Source organism: Homo sapiens, chromosome 10 (assembly GCF_000001405.40).
Source record: "Homo sapiens chromosome 10, GRCh38.p14 Primary Assembly".
Classification (NCBI taxonomy): domain Eukaryota; kingdom Metazoa; phylum Chordata; class Mammalia; order Primates; family Hominidae; genus Homo; species Homo sapiens.
Window position 1 is genome coordinate 97562076 of NC_000010.11, and position 22291 is coordinate 97584366.

General features: G+C 51.1%; 2 protein-coding genes across 6 annotated transcripts in view, besides 2 other annotated features; both read left to right on the forward strand.

Annotated features, from left to right (window-relative positions):
* Positions 1-9131, forward strand: part of UBTD1 (ubiquitin domain containing 1) — a 72283-nt gene extending 63152 nt beyond the window's left edge. The window contains exons 2-3 of the mRNA NM_024954.5: positions 5839-6066; positions 8063-9131. Of these exons, the coding sequence (NP_079230.1) occupies positions 5839-6066; positions 8063-8448 (614 nt within the window). The 3' untranslated portion in view covers positions 8449-9131. The remainder of the gene's footprint in view (positions 1-5838; positions 6067-8062) is intronic.
* Positions 4696-4785: a silencer, noted in NCBI's record as "silent region_2682". NCBI's record gives its function as "represses an Ori minimal core promoter by ATAC-STARR-seq in GM12878 lymphoblastoid cells {active_cell/tissue: GM12878}" and the evidence as "EXISTENCE:reporter gene assay evidence [ECO:0000049][PMID:35858748]".
* On the forward strand, positions 10366-21809 carry ANKRD2 (ankyrin repeat domain 2). 5 transcript variants are annotated; one of them, NM_001291218.2, is made up of 9 exons: positions 10366-10800; positions 15725-15826; positions 16165-16323; positions 16423-16530; positions 18780-18878; positions 19241-19339; positions 20240-20338; positions 20529-20627; positions 21501-21809. In NM_001291218.2, exons 1-9 carry the CDS (start codon positions 10375-10377, stop codon positions 21648-21650), a joined length of 1341 nt encoding a protein of 446 aa, NP_001278147.1. In that variant the 5' UTR covers positions 10366-10374; the 3' UTR covers positions 21651-21809. The 5 variants fall into 5 exon arrangements, with proteins under 5 accessions (NP_001278147.1, NP_065082.2, NP_001123453.1 ...); NM_020349.4 differs by having other exon boundaries at positions 10428-10800; NM_001346793.2 differs by having other exon boundaries at positions 10704-10800.
* Positions 12657-12951: a silencer, noted in NCBI's record as "tiled region #14301; K562 Repressive non-DNase unmatched - State 23:Low". NCBI's record gives its function as "represses a minimal TATA promoter and a strong SV40 promoter by Sharpr-MPRA in K562 cells {active_cell/tissue: K562}" and the evidence as "EXISTENCE:reporter gene assay evidence [ECO:0000049][PMID:27701403]".

The window sequence follows — 22291 nt, forward strand, 5'->3', positions numbered from 1 at the left end:
CGGACTGTGTCTTCAGGCACAGCTGACCAGCATTAACATTAAAACGGTCCAGGCGTGGTGGCTCACGTCTGTAATCCTAGCACTTTGGGAGGCTGAGGCGGGTGGATCACCTGAGGTCATGAGTTCGAGACCAACCTGGCAACATGGTGAAACCCCGTTTCTACTACAGATACAAAAATTAGCGAGGTGTGGTGTTACACATCTGTAATCCCAGCTACTCGGTGTCACGCGCATCCATGTGAAGAGACCACCAAACAGGCTTTGTGTGAGCAATAAAGCTTTTTAATCACCTGGGTGCAGGCGGCCTGGGTCTGAAAAGAGAGTCAGCAAAGGGTGGTGGCATTATCGTTAGTTCTTGTAGGTTTGGGATAGGTGGTGGAGTTAGGAGCAATTTTTTGTGGGCAGGGGGTGGATCTTACAAAGTACATTCTCAAGGGAGGGGAGAATATTACAAAGTACCTTCTTAAGGGCAGGGGAGGATATTACAAAATACCTTCTCAAGGGTGGGGAGGGTGTATCGTACAAAGTAATTCACAAGGGCGGGGGAATATCACAAAGTACATTATTGCAAGGGCGGGGAGGCTGTATTGTCACAAAGTCAATTGATCAGTTAGGGGCAGGAACAAATCACAATGGTGGAATGTCATCAGTTAAGGCAGGAACTGGGCTATTTTCACTTCTTTTGTAGATCTTCAGTTCCTTCAGGCCATCTGGATGTATATATGTAGGTCACAGGACATATGATGGCTTAGCTTGGGCTCAGAGGCCTGACATTCCTGTCTTCTTATATTAATAAGAAAAACAAAACAAAATGGTGGTGAAATGTTGGGGCAGCGAAAATTTTGGGGGGTGGTATGGAGAGATAATGGGCGATGTTTCTCATGGCTGCTTCGGGCGGGATTAGGGGCGGCGTGGGAACCTATAGTGGGAGAGATTAAACTGAAGAAAGATTTGGGGGTAAAGGGTAATATTGTGGGGTTGTTAGAAGGAGCATTTGTCGTATAGAATGATTAGTGATGGCCTGGATGTGGTTTTGTATGAATTGAGAAACTAAACGGAAGACACAAGGTCCAAATAAAAGAAGGAGAAAAACAGGTATTAAAGGACTAAGTATTGGGAGAACCCAGGACATCCAATTAGAGAGTGTCCAAGGGGGTTCAGCGTAATTATTTGCTTGGTTGGCGAGTTTTTGGGCTCTATCCTTGAGTTTTTTATGTTGTCATATACCAAGCCAGATTGATTTGGGTAAAAACACTCTTCATTTAAAAATATACAGAGTTCTCCTTTTTCAGCAATGAGTAAATCGAGGCCTCGTCAGTTTTGGAGGAAAGAGAAATGCAAAGCCAGTAATTGTTTGTTAAAGAAGGATTAGAAATGGCTAGGAGAGAGTGAGTAGATTGATAGTGTGGTGGAGATAGGTAGGGAGAGGTAGAGAGTGACTGGAGAATGGGGGCAAGTATAAGAGTGAGTAGAAAAGTGAAAAAAGGGACTTCATCAGAGTGAAAGTATTGGAGGGTACCCCGTCAGCAAAGATCATCTATCCACTCCAAGAGGGAGTCAAGAGTGGCGGATTAGGGGTAGTACTAGGAGATATCTGCTATGATAGTTTGGAGGAAAAGTGTAAACTGGCAGGGCATTTATGAGTAGTTAAAAATGGTGAATGGGGTATGACTAGACAGAAGATAGGAGGGATGACAAGTTTTCGGGGTGCAGTCCGAGTGGGTGGGGGGTGACTGAATAAAGCCTGTTGTAAAGATAGGGTAAGGAAGAATAGACCTAATAAAAATGAAAGGATGTATTAGGCTTATAAGGATTACTGTTATCCTTTAGGAATGCAGGTGAGTTTAAGGGAAGTAGGGTGAGTACTTGTGACTTCCAGGAGGAAGAGGAGAGATCAGGCTGGCTGTCCGACGGACACAGCTTTATTCTGGAACGGTGAACCCAATGGGGAGGGTCCTGCAGGCGGATGGCAGTTGGGGTACTATAGATGACTAAGTAGGGTCCGGTCCATCGAGGTTGTAGAGTTTGAGGGGTCAGATTCTTAACAAGAACTGATCGTCCAGCTAGGGTGTCTTCATATGGCTGGGAATCTGAAGTAGGCAAGAGAAGATTAGCAGCCTGGCGAGTTTCCTGTCTAGCCTGCTGGAGGACTGGAAGATAGTCGCCTAGAGGGCTGGTGTCTGGGACAAGGTTGGGGCCGAGCAAGAAAGTGCGTCCATATAAAAGTTCAAATGGACTGTACCTTCAAATGGACTGTGACATATTTCGAAATGGCCCTGCAAAACTGTCTCTTATGGGGGAAGTTTACATTTTCTTTACAGAATCCCGTTCCCTTTCCAGGTCTTTTTCTGATCCTGAAGAGATTAGCTAAAAATCTAGCACCTGTTAAAGGTCTGAATAGGAAACATTTGCCATCTATTGCCTCTAAGGGCAGCCACCTGTGAAATTTCATCTACATAATAAGAACCTTGGTCTCCACAACTCCTTATTATTATTTTTTTTTTGAAATGGAGTTTCACTCTTTGTTACCCAGGCTGGAGTGCAGTGGCACGATCTCAGCTCACTGCAACCTCAGCCTCCCAAGTTCAAGTGATTCTCCTGCCTCAGCCTCCTGAGTAGCTGGGATTACAGGTGCCTGCTGCCACGCCCAGCTAATTTTTGTATTTTTAGTAGAGATGGGATTTCACAGTGTTGGCCCAGCTGGTCTCGAACTCCTGACCTCAGGTGATCTGCCCACCTTGGCCTCCCAAAGTGTTGGGATTACAGGCATGAGCCACCACCCCCAGCCCACAACTCCTTATCTTAACCCAGACATTCCTTTCTGTTGATTCGAGGACTTAAGATAATAACTCTTTCAACCAATTGCCAACCAGAACATCTTTAAATCCACCTATGACCTTTAAGTCCCCGCCCCTTCAAGTTGTCGCTCCTTTCCACACAAACCAATGTATATCTCACATGTAATGATTGATGTCTTAAATCTCCCTAAAACATATAAAACCAAGCTGTAATCCAACTACCTTGGGCACATGTTCTCAGAACCTCTTGAGACTGCATCACAAGTCATGGCCCTCACATTTGGCTCAGAATAAATCTCTTCAAATATTTTACGGGGTTTGGCTTTTTTTGTCCAACAGTCTGTCCCTGTTCCAGTACTGTGCCAACTGTAGCTTTATAATTAATGCTGATCATGGCAGCACAACTTCTCCCACCTGATTCTTTTCTAGGAACATCTTTGTTCTTCTATATAAAATTTAGAATCAGTTTGCCAGGTTCCTTGGGAAAAAACTGACAGGAATTATATTGGAATTGTATTACATTTATAGATCAGTTTAGGGGGAGTGGACATCTCCATGATTTCTTTGAATGTTGCTTCCTTCCCATTTTCCCTATTGTATACTTCTGGAAATTCAGTTCAAAATTTTAGACCTAGCAGGGCATAGTGTCACCTATATAGTCCCAGCTGCTTGGGAGGCTGCTGGGGGAGAATACCTTGAGCCCAGGAGTTTGAGGCTGCAGTGAGCTATGATCACACCACCGCACTCCAGACTGGGCGACAGAGTGACCTTGTCTCTCAAACAGAAAAAAGACATCCGAATCTCAATTATATTGTATTTTTCTTTATTTTTATTTTCTTTTTATTTTTTTGAGACAGGGTCTCACTTTGTCACCCAGGCTGGATTTGGAGTGCAGTGGCATGATCATGGCTCACTGCAGCCTCAACCTTTCTGGGCTCAGGTGATCCTCCCACCTCAGCCTCCTAAATAACTGGGACTACAGCTGCATGCCACCATGCCCGACTAATTTTTTGTATTTTTTGTAGAGACAGGTTTTTGCCATATTGCCCAGGCTGATCTCGAATTCCTGGGCTCAAGTGATCCATCTGCCTTGACCTCCCAAAGTGCTGGGACTACAGGTGTGAGCCACTAGGCCTGGCCTGTATTTTTAATTTTTAGAAGTTCTATATGGTTCTTTTAAGATCTTCTTGGTTATACCTACTATGTACCCACAAAAATTAAACATTTTTAAAAAATCTCCTTGGTCATTCTTTATAATCTCTTATTCATATTTTTAAGGCCCTCATCCCTTAACTCAGTATTTCATAATCTATCCAAAGTCTTTGCAAATCTGATTCTTTTGTCTGCTGTTTTTGCCAGTAAAGCTCGTACTGCCTTGTTTCCTTGCATATTGAGATTTTTTTTTTTTTTTTTAAAACTATTACCTTATTTATTTTTCTTGGAACTTTATCTTGGGAATTCTTTGAGGCCTGGTTTGAAGTTGTTTTCCTCCAAAGAGGGTTTGCCTTTCCTTCTGCCACCTCACCACCCCAGGAACACTTTAAATTAAATATTTGGCTTTAGAGTTTTCTGCCCCTACAGGTAACTGTGAATTCAGATGGTGAACTACAGGATTTAGTCAGACCTGAGGTGGAACCCTCACTCACTTACTATGTGACCTGGGGCAAGTCATTTAATCTCTCTAAATCTGTCATATCACCTGTGAAATAGCAATAATAATACCTACTGCCTAAGGCTACTGCAAGAATGAAATGGGATCATGTATATAAATAAAGGCTTGCCTGGGGTTCTTTCTCAGCGGAGATCGCTGCCTGCAATTCTCTTCCTTGCTTCCTTTTGCCCCAGCCAGTGGGAGCAGCCTGGTGGTGGCCCCCAGCCTCAGTTCTTCCACTCACTGTAGGACCTGAGTTATAGTGGAAGCAGAGTGCTTCACATCTCACTCCTGTGGCTCACTCTGCCTTTAGTTTTGAGATGACTGAGCCTCCAAAAGCCTTTGAGAGATACCTCTGCCCTCAGTCTTGGCTGTGGTTTGGAGTTGTCTTGGAGGTCACTTGGAGCTGGGTAACAAGAAAAATGACATTTGACAGAATTGTTTTCTTTGTCAGATGCTGCAGGAATTTTTGGGGGAGTTTGTTGGTCATGATTGCTTAAAAAATCCTTTTTTTAAGTGGGACATTAGTAACAAGATGTTAAAATTGTTAATAATTTTTTTTTTGAGACATGGTTTCGCTGTGTTGCCCAGGATGGAGTGCAGTGGCATGACCACAGCTCACTGCAGCCTCAACCTCCCAGGCTCAAGTGATTCTCCCATCTCAGCCTCCCAAGTAGCTGGAACTAGAGGAGCGTGCCATCATGCCTGGCTAATTTTTAAAATTTTTTTGTAGAAACAGGGTTTTACCATGTTGCCCTGGGTGGTCTAGAACTGCCGGGCTCAAGCAATCCTACTGCCTCCCAAAGTGCTGGGATTACAGGCGTGAGCCACCGCGCCCTGCCCCACATCATGTGGGAAGGGTGCGGTGGCTCACGCCTGTAATCCCAGTACTTCGGGAGGCTGAGGCGGGTGGATCACGAGGTCAGGAGTTTGAGACCAGCCTGACTAACATGGTGAAACCCCATCTCTACTAAAAATACAAAAATTAATCAGGCGTGGTGGTGGGCGCCTGTAATCCCAGCTACTCGGGAGGCTGAGGCAGGAGAGTCGCTTGAACCCGGGAGGCGGAGGTTGCAGTGAGCCGAGGTCATGCCATTGCACTCCAGCCTGGGCAACAAGAGTGAAACTCCATCTCAAAAACAAAAAACAAAAAACAAAAACAATGGTAGCGTATGCTTTGCTGACACAATTATTTTATGTCCCTAGGTTGGTTATGTGAAGTTTTCTGACTCTTCCCTGCTATTTAGGAAGGGCTTCAAAGACCTGAATACTTAGTAGCCAGTGCAGCAGGGTTTCAGGGTCTGGCCTGGGGAGGGGAGGGGAGGGGGAGGGCAGGTTGCAGCTCAAGTGGCTTTAGAGATGCTGAGCCTCTCCTTCTGTCCTGCCCAGGACGCAATGAGCCCCTGAAGAAAGAGCGGCTTAAGTGGAAGAGCGACTACCCCATGACTGACGGGCAGCTGCGGAGCAAACGGGATGAGTTCTGGGACACAGCGCCTGCCTTCGAGGGCCGCAAGGAGATCTGGGATGCCCTCAAGGCTGCCGCCTATGCTGCTGAAGCCAACGACCACGAGCTGGCCCAGGCCATCCTGGATGGAGCCAGCATCACCCTGCCTCATGGTAAGTGGGCAGGGCCAGGGCTTTATCCCCGCTGGAGCTAGGGGGTCACCAGCACAGTTTGAGGGTGTTGAGGAGTGTGGAGCGGTGGGGCAGGTGGTTACTCACGTATTCATTCATTCAAGCACCCCTTACTGAGCATGGACCAGGAGTGGGTACACAAAGAAAAAGAGACACAGTCTATGCTTGCCTAATGACATGACAGAAAGACAACAAACCTGCAAAGCAGTGTCACAAATGCACTTTGGGACCCCAGAACATCCAAGGCACTGACCTTTTTATTTTATTTTTTTTTTTGAGATGGAGTCTTACTTGCTCTGTTGGCTAGGCTGAGGCTCAGTGGTGGGATCTCGGTTCACTGCATCCTTCACCTCCTGAGTTCAAGCAATTCTCCTGCCTCAGCCTCCTGAGTAGCTGGGATTACAGGCATGTGCCACCATGCCTGGCTAATTTTCGTATTTTTAGTAGAGACGGGGTTTCACCATGTTGGCCAGGCTGGTCTCAAACTCCTAAGCTCCAGTGATCCACTGGCCTCAGCCTCCCAAAGGCACTGACCTTTTATTGGGTTGTTATGTGCTGGACACCGAACTAGAAACTTCCACTGCATTAGCTCACGTAAGTTCATAGCAGTCTTATGGGGCCATGTAAAGCAGAGGGTGACAGTGGAGCCCTAGAATCACAGACTTGAGTTTCTTTTTTTTTGAGACGGAGTTTCCCTCTTGTTGCCCAGGCTGGAATGCAGTGGAGCGATCTCGGCTCACCGCAACCTGCGCCGCCTGGGTTCAAGTGATTCTCCTGTCTCAGCCTCCTGAGTAGCTGGGATTACAGGCATGCGCCATCACGCCCAGCTAATTTTGTATTTTTAGTAGAGACAGGGTTTCTCCATGTTGGTCAGGCTGGTCTCAAACTTCCAACTGCAGGTGATCCGCCCGCCTTGGCCTCCCGAAGTGCTGGGATTACAGGCGTGAGCCACTGCGCCTGGCCACAGACCTGGGTTTCAGTCTGAATGTTTCCCTTTCCTAACTGTCTTGGCTTTAGCAAGGAGCTTCTCGAATTTAGAGCCTGACTGCCTTACGACTGTAAAGGGGAGATGATTATTAGGATTCAGTAAGATACACATAACATCATTTAGTCCAGTCCCAGCACTTAGTAGGTGCTCAAGAGACAATAAACATATTTCTCCATGCATTACGTTTTGCCAGTAAGGACACTAAGGCCCATGGAGAGCAGAGCTGTGCTATTTCATTCATCCCTGTAACCCCAGCACCTGGCACATGTGAAGAAGTGAAAAATAATATGCCAGGATGAACAAGCCAGTACCTGGTGGAGCTGGGATGCCAGCTCAGGTCTTCCTGACTCCAGCCCTGTACACCTGGTCATCAGGCTGTCCTAGGGAGATCTGACTGTGGGGTGGCCATGGCAGGTGTATTAGTCTGCTCAGGCTCCTGTAACAAAATACCACATGCTGGGTGACTTAATCAAGAGACATTTATTTTCCACAGTTCTGGAGGCTGGGAAATCCGGCATCATGGTGCTGGCTGGTTCAGGTTTTGGTGAGGACTCTGTTGCTGGCTTGCAGGTGTCCGTCTTCTTGCTGTGTCCTCACATGGGGAGCGAGTGGAGAGTGAGATAGTGCTCTAGTGTCTCTACAAGAACTGTAAGCCAGGGCAGTGGAGCACACCTGTAGTCTCAGCTGCTCGGGAGGCTGAGGTGGGAGGATTGCATGAGCCCAGGAGTTCGAGACTAGCCTAGGCAACATAGGGAGATCTTGTCTCAAAAGAAAAAAAAAAAAAGGACCATTTTTCCCATCAAGGGGTCAGAAGGTCAGGGCCCCACGCTATGACCTCATTTAACTTTATTTATTTCTGTATAGGCCCCATGTCCAAATACAGTCACATTGGGGGTTAGAGTTTCACCATATGAATTTGGGGGGACCCAAACATTTAATCCATGATAGTGGATCCCCAAGCTGACTCTGACAGCCCTGCCTCTCCTACAGGCACCCTCTGTGAATGCTACGATGAGCTGGGCAATCGCTACCAGCTGCCCATCTACTGCCTGTCACCGCCGGTGAACCTGCTGCTGGAGCACACGGAGGAGGAGAGCCTGGAGCCCCCCGAGCCTCCACCCAGCGTGCGCCGTGAGTTCCCGCTGAAGGTGCGCCTGTCCACGGGCAAGGACGTGAGGCTCAGCGCCAGCCTGCCCGACACAGTGGGGCAGCTCAAGAGGCAGCTGCACGCCCAGGAGGGCATCGAGCCATCGTGGCAGCGGTGGTTCTTCTCCGGGAAGCTGCTCACAGACCGCACACGGCTCCAGGAGACCAAGATCCAGAAAGATTTTGTCATCCAGGTCATCATCAACCAGCCCCCACCACCCCAGGACTGATGGGCCCACGGACCCCTGGGAAGAGGCCCCGCCTGGAGCACTAGGCCCCCACCCTGCTGCTGCCTTCCAGTGCTGTCATTTTCTTCAGGGGCCCTCCCCTCGGTGTGGCTGGTGGGTGAGCCGTGAAGGGACCCTGCCTTTCAGGGCACTACGCGCCACCAGTTCCCGGTACCCAGGGAGCAGGCAGCCACACACGGGCCTTGCAACCTTGTCAGAGAAAAGGCGAACAGGGCCCTCACCCTGCCTGTCTCCCGAAGCAGGTTCGAGCCACAAGGGCCAACCAGGAGGCCCCTGGAGCCCAGATCTGTCATCTGGTGCTGCCAGCTGTGCTCACTCTGGTTTTCTGCTCAGGGTCTGAAGCAGCTGCTGTCTCCCTCCTCTGCCCCCATCCCCTGGCTCTCCCCTGGGCACAGTGCCACTCCCTTGGAAGGGAGGGAACCACCCGTGAGCCCCAGGGCTTGGGAAGCCTGAGGCGGGCCTCTGCCTCTCCCTGCCCCCAGCACAATTGGCAGAGATGAGGCGGGTGGTGGACAGCTGGGCTGTCGTGGCAGGGTCTGCACAGGGCCATGTCCTGGCTGTAACCCAGGCAGTGGGAGGTCTGCAGCCTGGTCATGGCCTCCACAGCAGGTCCCTGTGGACAGACATATCTGCATATTTATCAATAAAGCCTTTTGCTCCTTCTCGCTTGCCTGGCATTTGACTGAATTCTCCTGCAGCTCTGTGGGGCCCCTGGAGCTGTTCTGGTATGGGAACAGGTGGATGCCTGGCCTCCCCAGCTGCTCTGGGCATGCAATCTCCAGCAGAGTGAGCCTGGAACTGCCAGTCTTCTGGGCCCTGATCCCAGCTCCCCTGGTGTCCTCATGAGTCCTCAGGAAAAGCCACTCTTTGCTTTTCTTTAAAGCAGAGCCATGCTGCCTGCCCTGCCTCCTCCATCAGTTGCTGGGAGGATTAAGCAGGAAGACAGATGTGAAAGTGCTTGCAAGGCGAAGACAGCACCTCAGGAAGGTGGTCTGCTCCTGCAGCAAGAGGGGCTAACTTCCGGCCCTGGAGACGCTGTAGCCATCGTGATGTTAAAGCAAAATCTCTGACAGATTTAGATCGTGTGTCAGAGGTTTGTGTCAGCTTCCCAGCAAGGGAACCAGAAAGGAAAAGGAACCGGTTCCTCATGCTTCCTAGGGGAATGCATGCATATCTGAAGAGAAGGGAATCTTATATAAGGCTGTTTAGCTAAGGGCAGCCACCAGCCAGGTGAGCCTTACAGAAGCACAGGGCTGGGTGTCTGCAGTTCCCTAGCAGATTAACCTGGGTCACAGTGACTCAGAGCTCCAGCATGCGAGTTCCAGGTGTGGAACTGAGCAAGTACAGATCTGCTTTTGCTCCACTTGGGAGTATTTTTCCTTCTTAGTGAGCATGGGCAGCCTCCTGGCCAGGGAAGTCTGGCACTGTCTGGGCCTGACAGGGAAACCCTGGGAGGGTAGAAGGATCCAGAGTAGCTGCTGTTCCTCGCTAGCTGGGCTTAGTGCTTTCCGGAGACCCCTTTCTTGAAGCAAGACTCTGTAAGCCCTGCAGAGGTCCCCTGAGCACTTACCAAGAGAGGAGACAGATTGGATAAGGTTTGTTCATGACTAAAAGTCACCCAGCCAAATGCAGTGATGCTTAACGGGGAAGCATGTGGGACCCCGGAGAGCCGAAGGCCAGCGTGAGCTGTGATCAGAGAGGGAGACAGCTGCCCTTCCTGCTACCACGGCCCTGGCCTGGACAAGTAGAGTGTGACCCTCCTCACAGCCAGCAGGGCCTGTCTGCAGGACAGCCTGGGAGTACAGAACTGTCCTGGGTCCCCCGTTTGGTTTTCAGGCCCTCTTCCTGGAGCTGGCTGAGCAGGGTTTCCAGGCATCCAGCAGGTGGCACTGTCATCTGGGCTGGAGCATGCAGCCAGCAGTTCCCTTTTGCAACTCAGTTGCCTTGGCTAAGGCCCAACCAGTCCCAAGTGCTCAGGACAGAGGCTGGACGGGCTCCTTCCTGCACCCCTGCTCTTGGGACACAGTGCCCTCCGGCTCTAATAGGCCAGGAGTTGGGGGGGCAACTGGCTCTGCTCCCTGGCCCTGGCTCCCCCTGCTCCCTGGGGCTGCCCGAGGTGAAGGTGACAGGTGGGGGAGGCAGGTGGAGAATTGGGCCAGTGAGCTCATGGCAAAGGCGCCCAGCTGGGCAGGGGTGGGTGCTCTGGCCTATAAAGCCCCCGAGGCCCTGTGGCCTGCAGAGGCGGTTATGGACGGCACCATGGAGGACTCCGAGGCGGTGCAGAGGGCCACAGCGCTCATCGAGCAGCGGCTGGCACAGGAGGAGGAGAATGAGGTGCGAGCAGGGGTGGAGGTGCCCAAGGGGGTCTGAGGAGATCCAGTTCTGCTGTCAAGGGGAGGGAGATCCTGTCTGCTACACCTGTGGTGGGGAGGGGGGCAGATGTCCCCAGGGGCCCAGTTGGGCCTCATTCCTGTCCCAGGGTATTACTGGCAGGGGGTATTGCTGGCAGCAGAAGACTGAGGCTTCAGCCTTCAAAATTAAGTCAGTGAGATGGGGAGCTGGGCTGGGCTTCCTAAGACTGCTCACCCTCCTGGGCCTTGAGAGACAGTGGGCTGTACAAAGCAGACAGCTGGGTGCTGCCTGGGACTTTCAGGAATGTGTGGCCCTGTGATGCCCCAGTGACTGAGTGGGAGGCTGGGGCAGGGGAAACTCCAGTATTTGGCCAGTGAAGAAGAGAGTGAGGAAGGGATGCTGGGAAATGAAGCATGGATTTTGCCAGCCTGCTGGCCACCCTTGGGGAGTCCTTTGGCGTGTGGTGTTCTGGGCAATTGCATTTTCTCTGGGATAAGGAAGTGGAGCGGTGGCAGGGGGTGCTGGCTTGTCCTATTCTGCATTTTTTTTTTTGAGACGGGGTCTCCCTCTGTTGCCCAGGCTGGAGTGCAATGCATGATCTTGACTCACTGCAACCTCCGCCTCCTGGGTTCAAGCGATTCTCCTGCCTCAGCCTCCCGAGTAGCTGGGATTACAGGCATGCACCACCATGCCTGGCTAATTTTTGTATTTTTAGTAGAGATGGGGTTTCACTCTGTTGGTCAGGCTGGTCTCAAACTCCTGGCCTCAGATGATCCACCCACCTTGGCCTCCCAAAGTACTGGGATTACAGGTATGAGCCACCATGCCCGGCCCCTACTCTTCACTTTATTTAAACTAATACTTCATCTAGTGTTGGCTCTGCCAAGAGCCCAGAGCTGTAGAAATGGGTGGACCAATAAGGGTCAGACCCTGCCTTCTTTTTACCAACCCAGGATTCATTTTAGCCCATTTGTTGGTTTCATAGTCAACTAAGAAACAAGGCAAAGGGAAGAAATGACTAAATAGAGGTGTGAATCAGAAGTGGAGGAACACAAGGGGCTCATGAATTGTTCTGAGGGCCTTCAAGGACTCCTCTGTGGACAGGGCCAGGTGCAGTGGCTCAAGCCTGTAATCCCAGCATTTTGAGATCTGAGATCCGAGGTGGGCAGATCACTTGAAGTCAAGAGTTCGAGACTCACCTGGCCAACATGGTGAAATCCTGTCTCTACTAAAAATACAATTAGCCAGGAATGGTGTCAGGCACCTGTAATCCCAGCTACTCAGGAGGCTGAGGCAGGAGAATTGCTTGAACCTGGGAGGCGGAGGTTGCAGTAAGCCGAGATCGCACCACTGCACTTCAGCCTGGGTGACAGAGGGAGACTCCGTCTCAAAAAAAAAAAAAAGGGGACTCCTCTGTGGACAGGAGGATACCTGAGCTGGGCCTTCAAGGGGACTCAGTGGAGTCCAGGATGGTGGAGGGTATTCCAGCCTCAGGAAATGCAGGAGCTGAAGTTTCCATGAGTGAAAGCGTGGCTGTCTTGATAAAGTCTGGTAGTAGGGGCTAAGGCTGGAAAGACACAAGCCAGAGAGGGCCATGTAAAAGATATTTATTCTGTGGGCAGTGAGGAGCCACTAAATGTTATTGAGTGAGGGAGATTGGTGTCATCTGACCTATTTTAGGAAAGCAGCTCTGATGGCCCTGAGAAGGACTTGTTGGAAAAGGCTGGCCCTAGCAGGAATGGAGGGGAGGAGATAAATCAGGTTGGAGGTAGATGCCATTCAAAAAAAGGAGTGTGACTGAATGAGGGGTGAGGAGGAAGGAAGGGTCAAGACCCCAAGGGAAGAAGGGATGAGGTCAGGAAAGAGCTTGGAATGAGCCCTGGCTGGGGCAAGCATCCCTGGATCTCTAGGAATCCCACTTCTCCCTCCCCCAAGGGCATGTGCCTATGGTTGGCTGGTGCCAGGCAGGTGAGTCATGCTGCTATGCCAGTTCTGGAGTGCTGCCAATAGACACACAGACCTTCAGCAAGGGGACGCAGAGCAGTGTCTTCCGTTCATTCATCCAATAAATATAGCTACAGAGCTGTCAGGACACCAGTGCCAGGCCCTGTGCTAAGCATTTTACAGGCATTCTCCCATTTAATCTGCATAGCAATCTATGACGTAAAGTGGGAGCTTTGTGTGTTTCATGAACTCACATTCAATGCAGCAAACAGCTACTGAGCACCTACTGTGTGCCAGCCCACAAAGACAAACCTGAAATGAAGGGCTGTAGGGTCTGAGGAAGATGTGGGTGAGCATTAGAGTCCCCAGTTGTCTCTACCAGGCCCCAGCCTGGCAGGGTTCTTGGAGGAGAACCTCTGTCTAGCCTGTGCCCCATCCCCAGGGTGGGAGGGGAAAGAGGGCCCCAGAGGCCAGTGCAGGGGCTGGAGTTCCACTGTGGCGAGTTTACTGGGTTAGGTCATCACTGAGAACTTAAGGGTTAGCAGAGATGCTGAGTCTGCTTGCCATCATCCATTCGATCATTCATTCATTCACCAGTCACTAAGCACCTACTATGTGCTAGAGCCTGTCACAGATGCTGGGGACACCAAGATGATTAAGACACAAGCTCGGGAGCCACAGTGGCTCAGGCCTGTTGTCCTGGCGCATAAGGAGGCAAGGCTAGGCATTTGAGGCCAGCCTGGACAACATGGAAACCTCTCATCTATGTGACAACAACAACAAAATTTATAGCCGGGTGCAGTAGCTCACGCCTGTAATCCCAACACTTTGGGAGGCCAAGGTGGGCGGATTGCCTGAGCTCAGGAGTTTGGACCAGCCTGGGCAACATGGTGGAACCCTGTCTCTACTAAAATACAAAAATAATTAGCCAGGCGTGGCGGCATGCGCCTGTAGTCCCAGCTACTCAGGAGGCTGAGGCAGGAGAATTGCTTGAACCTAGGAAGTGGAGGTTACAGCAAGCCGAGATCACACCACCGCACTCCAGCCTGGGTGACAGAGTGGGACTCGGTCTCAAAAAAAAAAAAAAAATACACAAGCTGGCCCTCTGGATGCTCCCTGAGGAGCCCAGCCAGAGTCCCACATGCAGCAGTAGCTGCAGCCCCAGGTTATCTTTCATTCTTGGAAGAAGATGCAGTGTTTCTGATTAGGCCAGCACTGAGACCTCAAACCATGAAGCCCAACATGAAAGAGAGAAAGCAGTGGCTAACAGAACCTTCAGAATGAAGACCTGGGAAATCGGCTCTCAAAACCACCCTGAAGGAGCAAATGCGGGAGCTCAGGGAGGAATGGGAAAGGGGCCTGAGTGCTCTGTAAGGGTGGCCTCCTTCCCAGCTGCCACATTGACTCAGGACCCTCCAACCTGGGCAATTGTTCCTGGACTCATAGCCACACAAGCTGCCTGGTGGGGACTGCAGAGATGGGAGTGCCAGCACATCACAAAGAGAGAAGAAGCAGTCCAGGAAAATCAGAGGGCAAATGCAGAGAAGACCTGGCAGGCAGTTGGACCTGGATTACAGTGAAAAGAAGGTTAAGACTTAGAGCCCGTTTCAGGCTGAAGGCTGAGGAGCTGCTGCTCCCATCACCAAGTTCCCCTGAAAGCAATAGTTTCCAAGCTCTAGACTTCACAGATCAGTGAAATCTGAGAGAAAAAAAAAATAGTATCTAACAAAGAGCTGCCAAATTTTATATTGCTGAGTAAGAACATTTAAGAAGTAATCATCTCTCATCATAATCATTTCATCAAAGTGAATTATTTATTTTTAAAACTTATTTTATTTATTTATTTATTTATTTATTTATTTATTTATTTATTTTTTGAGACCGAGTCTTACTCTGCCGCCCAAGCTGGAGTATAGTGGCACGATCTTGGCTCACTGCAACCTCCACCTCCTGGGTTCAAGTGATTCTTGTGCTTCAGCCTCCCAAGTAGCTGGGACTACAGGTGCGTGCCAACACGCCTGGCTAATTTTTGTATTTTTAGTAGGGATGGGGTTTCACCATGTTGCCTATGGCTGGTCTCGAACTCCTGGGCTCAAGCAATCCACCTGCCTCGGCCTCCCAAAGTGCTTGGATTATAGGCGTGAGCCACTGTACCTGGCCTATTTATTTTTTGAGGCAGGGTCATTCTCTCTCTCTCTCACTGTCACTCAGGCTGGAGTGCAGTGGCATGACCTTGGCTCACTGCAACCTCCCCTTCCTGGGCTCAAGTAATCCTCCCACCTCAGTCTCCCAAGTAGCTGGCACTACAACAAAAGCCACTACGCTTGGCTAATTATTTAATTTTTTTGTAAAGATGGGGTCTCACTATATTGCCCAGGCTGATCTCAAACTTCTGGGCTCAAGAGATCCTCCCACCTCAGCCTCCCAAAGTGCTGGGATTATAGAGGTGAGCCACTGTGCCTGGCCTATTTATTTTTAGAGACACGATCTTGCTATGTCTCTGGAGCTGGTCTCGAACCCCTGGGATTGAGCAATACTTCTGTCTAAGCCTCCCCAGTAGCTGGGACTAAAGGCTGGCACTACCACACCCAGCCAAAGTGAATTTTTAATGCCAAAAAAGTAAAGAAAAAAATAATCTTGGTGCTTGAAAGAGTGAATATATTTAATCTCATGAAAAACTCAACTCTGGTGGCCTTTAATGTTGTTTTGCAGGGATCCAGGCCAGTTAGTGGGCAGGTGTCTGAGCTCAGGGTTGGGACTGGGGCTGAAGCTGAGGTGGGGAACTCACCCCTTTTGGGGGCCCCTCCAGGGGCCCTGCTCTTGCTGGGGGCTCCCCAGGATCAGCCAGAAGGGCTCTGAGACCACCCAGGAGGATGTCTCTGTGGGGTGTCCTTGGTGTGGTTGGGGGAGAGGCTGCCTGTCTCCTCGGGTCCTGGAGAAGGTGCCCTCTTTGGATCACCAGAAACTCCGAGGAGACGCACGCCAGAAGCTGCCCATGGACTTGCTGGTGCTGGAGGATGAGAAGCACCACGGGGCTCAGAGTGCAGCCCTGCAGAAGGTGAAGGTAAGCCTGGGAGGATCCAATGTCTGCACCCAGGGGACCAGCCAGGTAGCCATGGCCTGTCTGCACCTCTCCCCACGTGGCCCATGGACCAGCAGTTCAGCACCCCCGGTAGAGCTTGCTAGCCCTGCAGAATCTCCGCCCCGTCCCAGAACTACTGAGTCAGAATTCCCCCAATGTGAGAGCCATCTAGGCCTGGAAGGAGGGATAGACCTTGGTTCCTTCTTTCTTAAGAGGGTCTTCCTGCCCACCCCACCCTCCCCACCAGCTTAGCTCAGAGGTCTCCCAAGCCCCCCAAACTCTCTGCCCGGCCTGGGGGGTTGATGGGCCATCCCGCGCAGGGCCAAGAGCGCGTGCGCAAGACGTCCCTGGACCTGCGGCGGGAGATCATCGATGTGGGCGGGATCCAGAACCTCATCGAGCTGCGGAAGAAACGCAAGCAGAAGAAGCGGGACGCTCTGGCCGCCTCGCATGAGCCGCCCCCAGAGCCCGAGGAGATCGTAAGGGTCCTGGGGAGGACACCGCGAGGGGGCGGAGGGGGAGCCCGGGAGGCTTCGGATTGCTGGGACGGCCCGTGACTGCTGCGTCCACATCTGCAGACTGGCCCTGTGGATGAGGAGACCTTCCTGAAAGCTGCGGTGGAGGGGAAAATGAAGGTCATTGAGAAGTTCCTGGCTGACGGGGGGTCAGCCGACACGTGCGACCAGGTGATGCTCCTAGCCGCCCCTGACCAGCCTCCCTGTCAGTTGCCACCCCCACTCCGTTCGGCTCCTGGGTCAGCCCACTGTGAGCCTATTTGAGAGGAGGCACCGGTGTTCTTTGGATGGGTGGGTGGCTGGGGCGCTCAGAATGGGTGTCCCTTCCCCGTACAGGAATTGACCTAAATCCTTAAACCCTTTTCCAACTTGAATCACCTGCAGAGCAACAAATGTCACATGTTTGTTTAGGAAAGAAAGAAAAATAGAATCAAATAAAAACAGACCAGGACCAGAAGATGTGGGCTCAAATCCCATCTCTCTCACTCACGAGTTGTGGGACCTGTGGCTGGGTCGGTGCCCTCTCCATGCCTCAGTTTCCTCCTCTGTAAAATGGCCTACTTCCCTCACAACATGTTACGGTGATCAAATGGAATATTAGGCTGGGCACTGTGGCTCACGTCTGTAATCCCAGCACTTTAGGTCAAGGTGGGAGGAGCGCTTGAGCCTAGGAGTTCAAGACCAGCCTAAGCAACAGAGTGAGACCCTGTCTCTATACATATATAGATAAAGATATAGATTTTTTTTTTTTTTGGTAAAAGGAAAAAAGGAATATTAGCACCTCAGTAACTCAGTATTCACTGAATGAATGAAGAAACTATCAAGCATGTGTTAAGATATGATATTTTTGTTTCTCATGGTATAGTACTGTACTTTTTTTTTTTTTTTTTGAGACAGAGTCTCACTCTGTCACCCAGGCTGGAGTGCAGTGGCGCAATCTCAGCTCACTGCAACTTTCGCCTCTTGGGCTCAAGCAATCCTCCCACTTCAGCCTCCCAAAGTGTTGGGATTACAGGCTTGAACCACCACTCCTGGCCTATTTTTTTTTCATGGTAAAACATAACGTGAAATGTTCCACTTTAACCATTTTAAGTGTACAATTCAGTGGCATTAATTACATTCACAATGTTGTGCAGCCATATTTTCTTTTTTTTTCTTTTTCTTTTTTTTTGAGATGGAGTCTTGCTCTGTCCCCCAGGCTGGAGTGCAGCGGTGCGATCTCAGCTCACAGCAGCCTCCACCTCCCAGGTTCAAGTGATTCTCCTGCCTCAGCCTCCTGAGTAGCTGGGATTACAGGCGCCCGCCACCACACCCGGCTAATTTGTTTATTTTTAGTAGAGACAAGGTTTCAACATGTTGGCCCTTGACAACAAGCTGGTCTTGAACTCATGATCTCAGGTGATCCACCCACCTCGGCCTCCCAAAGTGCTGGGATTACAGGCATGAGCCACCGTGTCCGGCCCCTTACAGCCATATTTTCTAAATTTTTCATCACCCATCATACTTCTTTTTGTTTTGCCTGAAACTGCCTCTTTCACACTTCCCGGGGTGCTTTCTTGCTCTCGTATCCTGGAATTTGGCACATTAGTGGTTTTCCACCTTTGGTCTGCATTATTGTAGACTTGGACCACATGTCCTTTCTGTTCTTTAGACTCCAGAGTCTTCATCCTCTCAGTCTGTCCAACTACCTCCTACTTCCGAGCACCATGCTAGGTGCCAGAATACAAAAAAACAAAAAAAGCAAAACAAAACAAAAAAACAGACCAGGGTTGGTTCCTTGGGGAGACTGACATGTAACCAGATCATTAGAATAAGGAAAGATACTCACTGTGTGTGTCCTGTAACCAGATCATGAGAATATGGAAAGATATTGTGGCTTGAGCGTTTCAAAAGTCCAAGGCAGAAAGGAGAAGGGGAAAAGTTTATTCTTTCTTTGAATCAGTGATCAGTGTCACCTGTTCATGCTGGCCTTGTGCTAGGCACTTGGGGAGTCCAGCAAGACTTGACCTGCCCTCGAACACACTCTCACAGTTAAGGGTCATCTGGGCCCTAGGGAAGCCCTGGCCTAGAGGTTTCAAGGAAATGATGGCATTTGAGCTGCATCTTGAAGGAGTAGCAGATTTTATCAAGCACTCCCAGGAAGTGAGGGCAAAACAGGCATGCTTGGCAGAGGAAACCACCTGTAGAGAGGCATGGCTTGATGTGCCTGGGGGGCAGTGAGAAGGTCGGGTTCCCTGGGGCAGAGGGCTCCCAGGCTGGTCTGGATAGAGCATAAGGGAGCTGGCAGAACACAGAAAACATGGGGGCCAAGCACAGGGGTGAGAATCAAGCTGGGGGGAAGGCCTGGGCCTCAGCTTGGGTGGGAGATGGGCTCAGGCCTGGAGCCAGAGGCCAGGCCCTGACAGCCTCTCTGGGGACAGTTCCGTCGGACAGCACTGCACCGAGCTTCCCTGGAAGGCCACATGGAAATCCTGGAGAAGCTTCTAGATAATGGGGCCACTGTGGACTTCCAGGATCGGGTGAGTGAGAGGGCAGGTATTCAATGGGAGACAGGAGGTGGGTCCAGCACTGACAGACACCCTCTCCCTGCCACCTGTGCCAACCTGAAGCATAAACAGGTTGCTCAGGTGCCAGACTCCACCTCAGTGGCTTATGTGACCTTGAGTAAGCCCCTTCTCCTCCCTAAGCATCCTCTGTGAGTCTGGCTTGGACCAGATGGGCCCTGAGTGTTCTTCTGTTCCACTTGGTCCATTGCCCATGCCCAGGCCTGCTCCCTGTACCTTTCCCCTAGATATCCCTCTGCCTTCCTGGCTGGGGTACATTACCCCCGAATACTTTCTTCCCTGCAGCTCTGTAGTTAGACCCCCTCATTTCTTTCTAGCTGGACTGCACAGCCATGCATTGGGCCTGCCGCGGGGGCCACTTAGAGGTGGTGAAACTTCTGCAAAGCCATGGAGCAGACACCAATGTGAGGGATAAGGTGAGGCAAAAACACTCAGAAGCAACAGATATTGGGGTGGCTGTGGGGAGAAAGGCAGGGGTCCAAGGGCAGGAAAGCCTAGGGGGCAGGAAGGTAGTGAGCTAGTCTGGTTTCTGGCTGCAGAGCAGGGAAGCTAAAACAGTGTCCTACTGGGCCTCCCAGCCCAGGGATGGGTCCCTGCCATCCACACAGGCCCTTGAGGAACCACCATCTGAGGATAGGAGCAGGAAGAGCAGACAAGAAGGGAAGACAAGAGACTCACTGTGTTGGGGGCTTTGGGACCACTCAAAAGATGCAAGATTTGTTCATGTTATCTGTCATTATCCTTCTGTCTACCTATCTATTCATCTATCCGTCTATCCATCCATCCATTCCTCCATTTATTCATCCCCTCATTCATTTATTTATTTATGCACCATCCTTCTATTCATTCATTATTTCATGTACAACCTTGAACAAGTGACAGCCTCTGAGCTTCTGTTGCTCATCTGTGAAATGTCTTGCAGAGTTCTTGTGTAGCTTAGGTGGGAAAACATGTGTAAATGAATTATTTATTCAACATAAGGCAAATGTCTTGTAAGCTTTTGCCATGTCCATTACATAGTCATCTCTCAATAAATGACATATATTATGATTATTAAAAGAAGGGTAGAAGAGTGAGCAGCTGGGTGAGAGGAGAATCACAGAAGGCTTCCCAGAGGAAGTGGCATTTAAGGCTTTAGAGTTAGGCCATTGGATAGGATGGTAAGAAATTGTACCATTCTCTGCCCCTCCAAGGCTCAGGCCTTGGCACTAGGACTTGGAAGAGGGATTAAGCTGGAGTTAGGACAGCCCCCGCCTTCCCAGGGGTACCACAGTTCAGGCCCCGTCAACTAGCAGTTCCTGATTCCTCCCACCCAGCTGCTGAGCACCCCGCTGCACGTGGCAGTCCGGACAGGGCAGGTGGAGATTGTGGAGCACTTTCTATCCCTGGGCCTGGAAATCAATGCCAGAGACAGGGTGAGTGCTAGCCTGTCCGCTGCTCACCCGCCATGGGTGTGTGGGCAGCCTGCGGGCCCCTACAGGTGGTGTCCTTCCTCCTGGGGCCTTCAGGACTTGGCTCCTGAGCAGGGTCTCCAGCCCACCTCCCATCACCCTTGCCTCCTCCCACTGCCCACAAGGGCCATAGTGAGTGCCACACTGACTCTAGGAAGGGGATACTGCCCTGCATGACGCTGTGAGGCTCAACCGCTACAAAATCATCAAACTGCTGCTCCTGCATGGGGCTGACATGATGACCAAGAACCTGGTAAGCTCATTCCCTCCTTGATTCAGTCACTGGCGTGAGCACTCATACAGTGGAGGTGCTGTCCTGGTCCCTGGAGCAGCCCCCGCCTAGGGACATGTATCATTGGCTCTGGCCAGCACCATAGTACATAAACTTGTCCTCTTCCAGAGCACCATTCCAACTGTCCGCCCCATTCTCTATGTGTGTCTATGTCCAGAGTGCAAGTGCAGAGAGACAGCAGGAGGGGCAGCAAGAGGACTTCCCAAAGACCCCCAAGTAGGCCAGAGGGGGTCCTCAAGTACTGGCCCAAGGAGGCCAGAATCATGAAAGGCCAGAGCTGGAAGGGACCGAGCACTCAGCTGGCATGACAGTTCCTAGCACCCCATGTCAGCTCCTGTGGTCTTTGAGTTTTCTTAGGATCTAGGCAGGAAGTCCTTGGAAGGGGAAGGTGCCCAGGGAACACCTTGGACTAGGGAACACTTAGTCCAAGTTCTTCTTTGGGGCCCAGAGCATTCACAAAAGGAGGCCATGGGAGAGTCCCTCGGGCTCAAGAAAGGCTAAAGGGATAATGAGAAAAGCAGGAAAATATGGAGAAGGTATAAATGAGGGGTTTTCACCCTCAGCATTATTGACATTTAGGGCTGGGTGATTGTTTGTTGTAGGGGACCATCCTATGCCTTGTAGGATATTTAAGCAACATTCTTGGCCTCTGCCCACTAGATGCCAGTAGTACCCATCCCCTAGTGTGACAACCAAAAGTATCTTCACACAATGCCAGTTGCCCCCATTTGAGAAGCACTGGTGGTGTCAATGAGGGTACCTTCTGTGAAAGCCTTCAGGACAGTTAACAGATTTTCTCTTGCCAACCCCCACGCCCCGTCCCGCCCCCTCCAGGCAGGAAAGACCCCGACGGACCTGGTGCAGCTCTGGCAGGCTGATACCCGGCACGCCCTGGAGCATCCTGAGCCGGGGGCTGAGCATAACGGGCTGGAGGGGCCTAATGATAGTGGGCGAGAGACCCCTCAGCCTGTGCCAGCCCAGTGAATGCGTGCCCCAGCCCAGCCAGCTACCCAGCCCCTCTCTGTGTGCAGCCGGAGGGTCCTAAGAATGGCTCCCGGAGCTAACTGAGGGCCCAGCCTTTTTTCTGCATGATCCAGGAGCACATACCACAAACTACCACAATAAAAAAGCTGTTTTTGCTAATTGCGATGTTCATTTCCACTTGTGTCTGAAATCTTTGGGAATGAAGGAAGACTGGGGGCAAATGCTGGTTTGGGGAGGAGGGAAACTGGGAGCCGGTTGGCCCTCTGAGCCAGCCCTGCAGCTTCTTTACTGTGGTCTCTTTTCCTTTCCTCCCTGCCACTCAACTTTTCCTGCCCCTTCTCACATCTCCAGGGCCAGGCTTGGCCCCTGCATGGATTGACTTGGTAATACACTCATCCTGGCCCCCTTCCTGGTGCCTGCTGTCCTGTGGGGCTGTGAGTGGCTAGCACAGGCTTGTCACGTGGCTGCCTTGGCAGGAGGAGCCTGGTAAGGGAGCGGGGCAGGGGATGGACAGCCTGTCACAGGCAGCTTCTTGCCCAGCCTTGCCACACCTCCCACAGGGCAGGACCTGCTCAGCCAATCAGCTCCACCAACCTCAGAACTGCCCGTGGAAACCTGGCTGGGCTTCTGGCTTCAGAGCT